Source organism: Homo sapiens, chromosome 6 (genome assembly GCF_000001405.40).
Source record: "Homo sapiens chromosome 6, GRCh38.p14 Primary Assembly".
NCBI classification, from domain to species: Eukaryota; Metazoa; Chordata; class Mammalia; order Primates; family Hominidae; genus Homo; species Homo sapiens.
In genome coordinates, this window is record NC_000006.12 from 164,291,311 (window position 1) to 164,303,402 (window position 12,092).

At 40.7% G+C, this 12,092-nt stretch overlaps 1 long non-coding RNA gene across 2 annotated transcripts; it reads right to left on the reverse strand.

Annotated features, from left to right (window-relative positions):
• Positions 1–2,382: 2,382 nt before the first annotated feature.
• LOC105378109 (uncharacterized) lies at positions 2,383–9,282 on the reverse strand. Of its 2 annotated transcripts, XR_943224.3 has the most exons (4): positions 9,190–9,282; positions 8,995–9,091; positions 7,155–7,255; positions 5,917–6,067 (listed from the first exon to the last, which is right to left on the reverse strand). It is a non-coding gene; the product is annotated as an uncharacterized LOC105378109 (long non-coding RNA). The 2 variants fall into 2 exon arrangements; XR_943223.3 differs by lacking the exons at positions 5,917–6,067; positions 7,155–7,255 and adding an exon at positions 2,383–2,419.
• Between the last annotated feature and the right edge of the window lie 2,810 nt (positions 9,283–12,092).

The following is a 12,092-nucleotide window of genomic DNA, read 5'->3' on the forward strand; positions in this document are numbered from 1 at the left end:
TCATAGAAGTTTATAGGTGTTCTGGTATTTATCCACCAAAGCTTTGTGATTTAATGCAATAACAATCATTTATTTTGCCACAATCTGAAATGTGGACAGGGCTCAGCAGGAATGGTTCATCTTAGCTCCATGTCATGGAACTTATTTTCTCACTCATATGGCTGACAAGTTCCTGCTGGATTTTGGCTGGAATTTCAACTGGGATTCTTGGTGGGGGTCCTGCTTTTTCTCCAAATAAGTCTCCCTGTTTAGCTGCTTATGCTTTCTCATGGCATGGCAGCTGGGTTACACAGCAAGTGTCCCAAAGGAGAGAAGTGGAGGTTACCATTCCCTTAATGTCTCAGCTTGAAAACTGACACAACCTGTCTTTCACTGTTCTCTGTTAGGCAGGCATCATGAAGCTTATGCAGAAAACAATGGGGTAGAAAATAAGCCCACACCTTTAAAAGCATCAAAAAATTGACAGCTACTTTTAATCTGTCCCGGTAGCACTTTATGTACTTGTTTCTTTTCTTTTCTTTTAATATCTTAGTCTTTTCTACCAGTCTAAAAGCTCACTGAGTGAAAGAACAGCATCTTATTTCTGTAGAAAAATCACTGTGGCATAATAAGACCACAAAAATACAATTATGATTCAACTGAATGACAATTAGAACAAAATCTACATGATTTTATACTTAGAAAAAATAGAGCAGATATCATGATATCACAGCACAATTTGGTCTGACAAATGCCAGCCATACAATGCCCAGCTCAATGTCTAGTGCATAGATGTAATGTGATGAATGAATAAGACAAGAGTAAATATAATTCAAGCTCATGGCCATATTACCTTGCATCTTTTTTTGGAAGCTTCCTTCACCATAAGATTTTTTTTATTTTTAGTTTTATTTTTTATTATTATTATACTTTAAGTTCTAGGGTACATGTGCACAACGTGCAGGCTTGTTACATATGTATACATGTGCCATGCTGGTGGGCTGCACCCATTAACTCGTCATTTACATTATGTATATCTCCTAATGCTATCCCTCCCCCTCCCCCTACCCCATGACAGGCCCCAGCATGTGATGTTCCCCATCCTGTGTCCAAGTGTTCTCATTGTTCAATTCCCACCTATGAGTGAGAACACGTGATGTTTGGTTTTCTGTCCTTGCGATAGTTTGCTGAGAATGATGGTTTCCAGCTTCATCCATGTCCCTACAAAGGACATGAACTCATCCTTTTTTATGGCTGCATAGTATTCCATGGTGTATATGTGCCACATTTTCTTAATCCAGTCTATCATTGATGGACATTTGGGTTGGTTCCAAGTCTTTGCTATTGTGAATAGTGCCACAATAAACATACGTGTGCATGTGTCTTTATAGCAGCACACCATAAGATGTTTAACAAAGATTTTTATATCAGAAAACAAATAAACAAACTAATGTATGTTGCTAAATAACCCTTGGCATTACAAACAGCTGTAGTTTAAAAAGGAGGATAGACTTCTTTTAGAATATATTTCTTTTTTAAGAAAAGAAAATTTCAGTGTATTTCCACCAAGACTGTGTAAGTACTTGCAGGGCTTATTACCTTTTGTCTAACGCAGAAAATAAGATTCATTCTCCTCTGCCTCACAGAAATGGTGCATATTGTAGTCATCTGGAGGTGTAAAAGGGAAAACCTTGCAACTTGCTTATTGTGTAGTTTTAGGTCATCTCATTCTGTTCAGCATTTTCTGTTCCGCATTTAATATTTTTTTTCTTAGCTTTCTTTCCATGTTTGCCATTATGTTATAAACTAAATTGTGTCCCCAATAATCAAAAAATTGTATGTGGAAATTCTTACCCCAACACCTCAGAATAAGTGATGGACTGAATGTCTGTATTCACCCTAAGTTCATATGTTGAAACCCTAATCCCCAATGTTGCAGTAACTAGGTCGTGAGGGTGAATCCCTCTTGAATGGGGTTAGTGCTATATAAGAAGAGACACAAGAGAGGTGATTTTTCTCTCTGCCATGTGAGGCCACAACCAGAAGATGGCCATCTGCAGACCAGAAAGAGACTCTCACCAGACACTGATCTGCTGGTGCCTTGATCTTGGACTTCCTGCCTCCAGAACTCTGAGGCACAGCCTAGGGTATTCTGTAATAGTAGCCAGACCTGGCTAAAACAGAATGTGACCGTATTGGGAGACAGTCTTTCAAAAGGTAACTAAGTGGAAAGGAGGTCATTAGGCTGGGCCAAATCTAATATGAGTGGCATCTTTATAAAAAGAGGAAATTTGGACACACGTACAGAGGGAAGATTAGGTGAGGACACAGGGACAAGGCGGCCATCCACAAAGTAAAGGAGAGAGGTCTGGAACAGATCCTTTCCTCACAGCCTCAGAAGGAGCCAACCCTGCCAACATCTTCACCTTGGACTTCCAGCCTGCAGAAATATGAGAAAATAGATTTCTGTTGTGTAAGCCACCCAGTCTTTTGTATTTCGTTATAGCAGCCCTTGCATGCAGTATACTCTATCTTTATAGTTAGATGCAATAAACAGAAACATTCTTCATTGCATAAGCAGAACTTGATGGTATTTCCCTAGTAACTTTGTTCTCCAGCTTATTCCCCAAAGACCTCTGCAGGAGAAGGAGTGAAAACTAAAAAACATATATGTTCCCAATTTTGCAAATCAATGAACCTGAGTTTTTCTTTAATGACTATTTTCAGTGTCACCGTTCATGTCAAATTACGATAGTATTTTGAAGTGTGATTCTATGAATGTCCAAGTTTTTGGAATAAAGAAATCTGCAACTGCTCTATTCAACATCCACAGAACTTCTGACTCTAGTCTAGCAGTCGACACACCTGGATCAATAACAGGACATTATTTAGTGTCCCTTTAACATGAAAGAGACAATTCTTGGCCAGCTGCTGCCTAGTAACGCTGATCTGTTACAGGCTGTGCAAAGTGATGAATGATGCCTCAGCAGACTCAGCTGGGCGGTGCAAGGTGGAACGCAAACTCGGCTTCACTGCCTTTCTGGGTCTGAAAATGTTCAGTTTGTTTTTGTTGAGAAACAAACCATGCCAAAACATAGTAGTTTGACAAATACACATCTTTTTAGCTTACGGTTCTGGGTAACACTCAGTTTAATGGTTCTTCTAGCCTGAGTAAAGCTCCTTTATACATCTAAGGTCAACTGCCAGGCTAATTGTGGGCAGGCAGAGGTCATCCTCAACTGGGACCTGGCCCCCATCCTCACCATGCCAGTGTGGGCTGTTCACACAGTGGAGAGGGGCTTCCAAGAGAGGAAGTGGGATGTGCACGCCTCTTGGGACTTGTCTCAGAGCTAGCGCCAGTTCACATCTAGTGTATTCTTTAGGCCAAAGGGAGGGACAGAGCCAGACCAGATTTAAAGAATAGGAAAAGAGCCTCCACTTCTTGTTGGCGGAGGGGGAGGGATGCTGTAGTCACATAAGAATCACATAAAGGCACAGGCATGGGATGTAAAGTGTTTTGGCCATTTGTGCAATCTACTACATTATCTGGACTGCAGGGATAGTTTATTGCTATTCTTAGGATTTTAAGAAGTAAGATGATGATGATGATGATGATGATGATTATTATTATTATTATTGAGACAGAGTTTCCCTCTTGTTGCCCAAGCTGGAGTGCAATGGCACGATCTCAGCTCACTGCCACCTGCCTGCCTGGTTCAAGCTATTCTCCTTCCTCAGCCTCCTGAGTAACTGGGATTACAGGCATGCAGCACCACGCGCAGCTAATTTTGTATTTTTAGCAGAGACGGGGCTTCTCCATTAGGTCAGGCTGGTCTCGAACTCTTGACCTCAGGTGATCTGCCCGCCTTGGCCTCCCAAAATGCTGGGATTACAGGCGCAAGCCACCGCACCCAGCCAAGATTATTTTTTTAGAAAGAAAATGTTCACATGCCATAGAGTTACAGCCACAGTGGCCCTTTTGGGCAAGGCACTTACCTCAGAAATTGATGTTATGACTACATGTTATTTTTGCTTTTTGGATGGCCCAGCCCATGTTTCTGGCTTCTCGAGTTAATAAAAGGTGGAGTTAACACTGGCTGACTGCTGTGTGCTAGGCACTGAGCTGTATCAGCTCGTTTTAAATGCTCACTCTCTGGTGCTGCAGGTTGGGCTCCGAGAGGCCAGCACCCTACTCGCTGCCAGGTGGGCTCCTCCTACTGTGTCCCTGCCATCTGACGGACCCCTCTTGGAGAGCTATACAAGAATATCCATTATGATTCTGTGCTTCTATCAGCCTTGCTGCCTTACAAAACCGGTTTTATTTAAGTTGTCAGTTTCCCCTGGATGAAATATCAGAAGCTCACTTTTAAATATTCCATTCTTTCCTGGCGTTGGCTGGCTCTCTGTTTTGGATACAGTTGACTTTTAGCACATTGGGTGGAGCATGAGATTCAGCTGTTTATTTTTTATTTTCCTCCTTATCTATGGCAGAATATTACACTCCCAAAGCAGTGAGAATAATAACATCTTCGCTACTCTGTAATTGATTAGTAATTCAGTTTCCTAGTTGAGGCAGATCACCATGGTTAGACCATAATTTCTTTCATCTCCAGTGTAGCAGGAATAATTACCACCAGACCTACAGATAGTGGAATTTTAAAAGGTGATTCTGATTTATAAATCAGGATGTTACATTCCTGCTCTTGCGTGATGGCTACAAAACTGTGGAGGATATTCTGGAACTTTACTCATCGGGAGCTCAAGTAGCTGGAAGTGGAGACACACTGAGAAGAAACAAAAACAAAAACAGAAACAAAACACACACGCAAAAAAAAACCAAAAAACAAACAAAAAGATAGCCGTAACACTGTCTGTACTTTTTACTGTGTCATTGTCACTATATAATTGGCTACACTCAGTGTCCCTGTGTATTCAGCACCTATTTAAAACATTTAATAGTCCAAGGGTGGCAGCAGAGTGGGAAGAGATGCCTTGGGTACCCACTTACCAAATGTTACACCTGTGCTGTCTGCTATACTTTGGCTGTGGAATTACTGAGGTGACAGCAGCTGTTCTCAGAAAGCTTGGTGATATAACCTTTGGTCTCAGCAATGCTAAGTACCTTATATCAAATTTTTTCATAACCATTTATGTTTGAATAACTGTTGGTAGTACACAAGAGCCTCATCTGTCTGATCTATTTTTACATCACAACACCCATATGGGGCAGTTAGTAAGGCCCATTTGAGCAATAAGAAAACGTATGCCAGATAGGCTGCATAACTCTCCGCCGTCCCAGGATGAATAGGCAAAAACCACTGGATAGTGGTTAGATTATAGGAACTGGAGTTATTCTACCGACATTCCACTTGGGGATTTGTCACTTACAAGCTCTGTAAAGTTGAGTGAGTTATTTAATCTTCCTGTGCCTCACTGTTTTCTTCCAGAAAATCATACTAGTACTTTATTGACAAAGCTGTTCTGAGGAGTAAATGAGTTGCTGTATCATAAAACACTTAGAACATTACATAGCACATGGTTAATATAATAAAAGAGTTAGCTATTATGATAACTCTCCCTAAGTGATTTTCTGTTTTTCTCTGACTCACATCCCATGTAATTTTTATAAATACATTTGTTCAAGACAAAAGCTAATGGTGATTAATTTTTGAACAATTCATCAATGATTTCCCACAAGAAAATGACCCACAACATGAAATAGCCAATTGAGGACGTATGGATATCTTTTGTTTGACTCATGTATATTTTTAAAAAATTGTCAACATTTAAGCACTTATAGATTTCACATAAAATGTATATATGTCTTTCTTTGAATATAAATGGTAATAGCTAATAACACAAAGACACATTCTGCTTGAATTGAATTGCAGCATCCCATCCCCCACATCTTTTCAAGGAAGGCCTGGTCCTCTCTGATGGTTCACTCTGACCCTTCACTCCCTTTTGTTATTTCTGGCCCACTTTATCCACACTGATGTTACCTGTTTGGTCCCTGCAACAATTTGAGTTTGTAACATTTTCTCTAGAAAACAGGATCCTCAGAAACAACATTTTTGAGAGTGAATATCTAGAGAAAGGGGAGAACAATTATACAACATGCACCATGGTCTTCAGGAAGAACAAAGCCTACTCAACCTTTGACTTCACTTCCTTCCTAGACTTTTAACCTATACTTTGACTTCTATAGAAGTAAATTTATTTGTAAATTTCTGACCTAATTCCATTGCGGCTCTCATCAGTGTTTCTTCTTGCAACGGTAATGACAGAGAACAATGTTTTAGGAATAGACTCATAAGTAAAATGGCAAGTACATGTACTTTTGGTTCCCAGAGATCTCTCTCTCCACACTGAACGGTGGTCAGTGACATTTGTTGTTAGCCACTGCACTGGTGACCAAGATGGTACACAACTTAAAACTTTTCCCTTGGCTTTTCTGCCAAGCTTATGACCTCCAATGTCAAAGCTTTGTCCTGCTTCAAAAATATAAACTTCATGGAAACTCCACCCCATTGCTGCTTTTGTCATGGTTTTGGGTTAGTTATTTATTTATTTATTTATTTATTTATTTATTTATTTATTTTTTGGAGTTGTTGTTGTTTTTGTTTGCAAGGCTCTCTAAATAAATTAGATATCTGGCAGGTAGTTGGGTGTGATGACCCATGATGTATGCACGATGAAAACAGTTTCCATAGAGGTTCCTGGCTTTGTTTCCTTCTTACCTAAATGGAGGAGGTTTGGGAACCATCCTGTAAATGCCATGCAGGTAAGCCTACTACAGGCCGAAGAACTCACTGGTAATGTATATGACAGAGTCTGTCACATCTAATTATTTCTCAAGAGAAGGACTTTCTAATAACCCAATTTTCTAATAACCTACCTGACATGACATTTACACGTGGATGTATCACCTTCAACTACACCTGACTTTTCAAAATTAAAAAACTTGTCTACTCATTACTGCAGACATCCTGGCTTCTGTGATTCACAGAGTGGCCCAGCCATGCTCCTGGTCACCAAGTCTTTCCTCTGCTCTTTAGCACCTGGCTGAGTCCTGCAGGTTCAGGCTCTGAAAGGAGTATTTTACTTATGTCCAACACTCAGGTTCTAACTCAGGATCTGTATCCTCTCACATGAGGTGCAATATGTCAGCCTACCTTTCTTCCCCAAATATCTCAGCTTTTTAATCCATCAGCTCATCTGCCAAGATGCCATCCCGAGACGGGAGTGACCTCAGTGGTCTCTCGCTGCCTGCAAACTAAAACCAAGTCTTCTTATGATGACAGTCATAGGTTCTTTGATGTGGTCCTATGTTACGTGTCCAGCTTCAGGCTCTATTTCTTTTTTTTTATTCATCATTTAACGGATGTTCACTGGGCATGCACTATGGGTCAAGCTCTGAGCTATGTATTTGAGATAAACTTGTGAACAACATAGAGAAAAATCTCTTTCCTCATGTTGTTTGTAGGTAGCAAACTATGGCTGCATGCCACCTGTTTTGTAAATAAAGTTTGACTGGACCCCAGCTATGCTCACCATGTCCGTGTTCTCTAGAGTCTAGGCTGTTTTTTCTACTATGGCTGTAGAGTGGCTGCAATAGATACCTCGTGGCCTGCAGAGGCTGTAACACTACTACAAGGCCCTTTACAGGAAAGTTTTGTGGACCCCGCCCTAAATGCATGTGGACAGGCTGAGCCCTATTCCCAGTGCCTTGGCTGTGTCCATACAATTCCCTCAACCCAGAATTCCTATTTTCCTCCCAACATATTAAAATCTTATTCTTGTTACAAGGGGCATTTCAAAATTTCTGTTCATTATAAAGCCATTCTTGGTTTTCTGAATCCAAATGGCCTCTTTCTCTTTACTCCAACACTGCCCTGTTTTTCCATCTCTTTTTTCTTATAATGTCAGAAATTATGTGCTGGTCTACTACCCTTCTAAATATGGGGTTCTGGGATAAGGGACTGATATGGTTTGGATCTGTGTACCCACACAAATCTCACCTTGAATTGTAATAATCCTCACATGTCAAGGGTGGGACCAGGTCGAGGTAATTGAATCATAGGAGTGGTTTCCCCTGCTGTTCTCATGATAATGAGTGAGTCTTATGAGATCTGATGGTTTTATAAGCGTTGGCATTTCCCCTGCTGGTCCTCATTCTCTCTCCTGCTGCCCTGTGAAGATTTGCCTTCTGCCATGATTATAAGTTTCCTGAGGCCTCTCCAGCCATGCAGAGCTGTGAGTCAATTAAACCTATTTTCTTTATAAATTACCTAGTCTCGGGTATTTCATCATAACAGCGTGAGAATGGACTAATACAGGGACCATATTGGACTCATTTTACATGTACCCTCTACCTCTAATAGAGAAGGCAGCAAACTCAGCAAAAATCAAATGCCAAAAGTTTTCTGAAAGAACCAAGAATTTTTCTGTTATCACCTGGCAGGGAATGTAATTATATAACATTATGTATGTATACATAATGTTAAATCAAGTTTAGCCTAAATCTAACAAATTATATAACATTATATATGCATATATAATGTTAAATCAAGTTTAGCCTAAATCTGCCTCCTTATAGTAATTTTAAATTTGGCCTAACAGTTTCTTGGTACATCATGAACTATAACCTAAATGGATTTGTATACAGACTGTAGCCTATTCTTGTGTCAATCACTGAGTTTTGACTAATCAAAGGTGGCCAACTGTTCAAACCATGTTCAAATAAGGCAAACATCAACCTGTAACCAATCTGGCTGTTTCTGTCCCTCACTTCTGTTTTCTGTACATCACTTTGCTTTTTCTGTCCATAAATCTTCTACCGCATGGCTGTGCTGGAGTCTCTGAGCCTACTCTGGCTTGGGAGACTACCCGATTTGCTCTTCAATTAAACTCTTTTGAATTTAGTTCAGCTAGTTATATATTATATATATTCATAATAATATATAATTATATATATATATAGCATACTCTGTCTCTCTGGGCTAAAAATTATACCTCAGTGTGATAGTGTGACATCCTTCAGCATGGGTCATCCTGTTCTCTCACCCAACAGAGTGATCAATGGACCCTTTCATTTCCCCCAACTGGACTGCTGCAAAAAAAAATCTCTATCATTTTAGGTTATTATTTATAATTATTATTTTAACCAATTGACCCAGTAATGAGCCAATTTATTCTTTCATGTCTTACTTGTTAGATAAGCAAAATTAGACCTTGAATTCCTGAAGACAGAAACGCTGATGAAATTAGTGCCGCAGATGTGTTCTTAGTCGGGGCATCTCCTTGGCTCTAAGGAATGTAAGTTTTTGTTTCCCAAAAGATAAGGCCCCTAACTGGTTTTAATAACTGTGCAACCTCCAGAAAGCTTCTGTGAAAGTACAGCTTGTTAGATGTACAGAAGTCACAGCAAACTCCAAAGATGTTGTTTAATTATTTGTCCTTTCCTAGAAAAATAAAATTTGAGGGCTCTAATTCAGCTTTACAAATGTTTTTCAAATCACGTTTGATTCACAAAGTCCCTGTGAACCATCAAAATGTGTGGTGGATTGTGAATACTTAGGGCTGCTTCCCACCTGATTCAGCCATCGCCACTTCCTCTTCCATGACATTGTGAAAACACAGACATCTGGCTGCAGGAGATACACACGAATCCCCGCAGAGGCAGTGGTCCATGGCAACCTTCAGATAATCTGTAGCAGGATTTTTCTGTTTTCTGGAATGCTTGTACATTTCTTACAAGCAATTATGCTGACTCTACAGTGATTCAAATTGCCCCTTAAAACAGCTGTAACAACCAAACCAAGAGCTATCTTCCAATAATATTGGCTACAGAGAGAGTCATAGATTTTCAGGAAAATACACCAAGCAAGTAACATAATTGAGAAGCTAAATGACATGTTTGGTACAGTTGCCAAACTGCTCTTTTCTAAGAGTGAAGTGCAGTGACACAGGTGGATTTTCATATGGAGCAATAATGTCTTTAACATAATTTATTTTTTATTTTTAAAGTGACAGGGCCTCACTATGTCACCCAGGCTGGTCTGGACCTCCCGGGCTCAAATGATCCTCCCATGTTGGCCTCCCAATGTGCTGGGATTACACGTGTGAGCCTCCATGTCTGACCTCTTTAAACATTTTCTACATTAGTACGCTTTTGACATAGATGCATTATGTAAGTATGAGAGAAGGTACTCATGTTCTCATAGAATTCTAACCTCTGACTTTTATAATTTAACAATTTTTTTTGCAAATATGACAGAAGCAAATAGACATTATCTAATGTGTCACCTAGGAGGTTATGTGGACTTCAGTCCTGTTAGCCACACATGCGGCTTAGTGCCTGACTCACAGTGTGAATATTGAGAGGTGAGGCTAGCTGGACTTGCTGGGTTGAATGGGGACTTGGGGAACTTTCCTTCTTACCAGAGGATTTTAAAACGCACCAATCAGCACTCTGTAAAACACACCAGTTAGCACTCTGTAAAAAGCACCAATCAGCAGGATCCTAAAAGTAGCCAATCGCAGGGAGGACTGAAAAAAGGGCACTCTGATAGGACAGAAATGGAACATGGGAGGGGACAATAAGGGAGTAAAAGCTGGTCACCTCACCCTGCAGCAGCAACCCGCTCGGTGCTATGGAAGCTTTGTCCTTTCGCTCTTCACAGTAAACCTTGCTGCTGCTCACTCTTTGGGTCCGTCCATGCCATCTTTAAGAACTGTAACACTCATGGCAAAGGTCCGCAGCTTCAATCTTGAAGTCAGCAAGACCATGAACACACCAACTCCGGACACGATATTACAAACAATTCCAGGCACAGATGTACTTGTGGCCAGTTACTTTGCTAATATTGTTTCCTTTATATTATTTCCTAAATTCATGGTATCTCCTATAGTATGTTAATATTACTGTTTCATTTTTATTTCCTACCAAATCTTTGCACAGTATGCCTTTCTCCTCTGCATTAGCCTTGTCATGAGTTGAATTATGTCTCCTCCAAGAAAAGACATGTTCAAGTCCTAAGCCCTAGTATCTTGCAACCTGATCTTATTTGGAAATACAGTCATAGCAGATGTAATTAGTTAAGTTGCAGTTATATTAGAGTAGGCCTCTAATCCAATATGACTTGTGCCCTTATTGAAAGAAAGCTGTGTGAAGAGACAGAGACACAGGGAGAAGGCTGTGTAAAGGTGGGGGTGGCAGGGATACACCTACAAGCCAAGGAACACCACCAATTGTCAGCCAAGAACCGGAACTTAGGAAGAGGCAAGGAAGAATTGCTCTACAGATTTTAGAGGGCATGGACTTACCAACATTCTAATTTCAGACCTGTAGCCTACTCTGAACCTGAGATGTAAGTTTCTTTTTTTGAGATGGAGTCTTACTCTGTTGCCTAGGATGGAGTGCAGTGGCATGATCTCAGCTCATTGCAACCTCTGCCTCCCAGGTTCAAGCCATTCTCCTGCCTCAGCCTCCCAAGTAGCTGGGACTATAGGCATATGTCACCATACCCAGCTAATTTTTGTATTTTTAGTAGAGACAGGGTTTTGCCCTGTTGGCCAGGCTGGTCTCAAACTCCTGACCTCAAGTGATCCACCTACTTCAGCCTCCCAAAGTGCTGGGATTACAAGTGTGAGCCACTACCCCAGCCCAAGATGTAAATTTTTGCTGCTTTAAACCATCTCGTTTATGACACTGTTATGGCCACTCCAGGAAACTAACACAAGACCCAGGTATGGGCTTGCTCTTCTGTTCTGTGATGTCCTCCTTGGGCCTCCAGATCCACTGCGTGCTCTGCTCCAAGAGACTGACCAGGACAGCTGCAATCAACACACACAACTGTCCTCAAACTTCCATCTGGCTTTGGCCCATGGGGAGCCCAGGAAGGAGATTAGAGTGAGGAAGGTTGAGGTCAGTTATTTATTACTCAAGTCCCCTCCCTGTGAGGTTGCGTGGGCTTGCTTTTCTTGACTCAGAATCATGAACACAGAAAGTGATCTGTTTTTCATTTCCCCAAGGATTGTACAAAACTAGTGCTATTCTGGCAGCAAAAGAAAGAAGTTGATTCATTACATATGACGGGTGCTGGAGCATG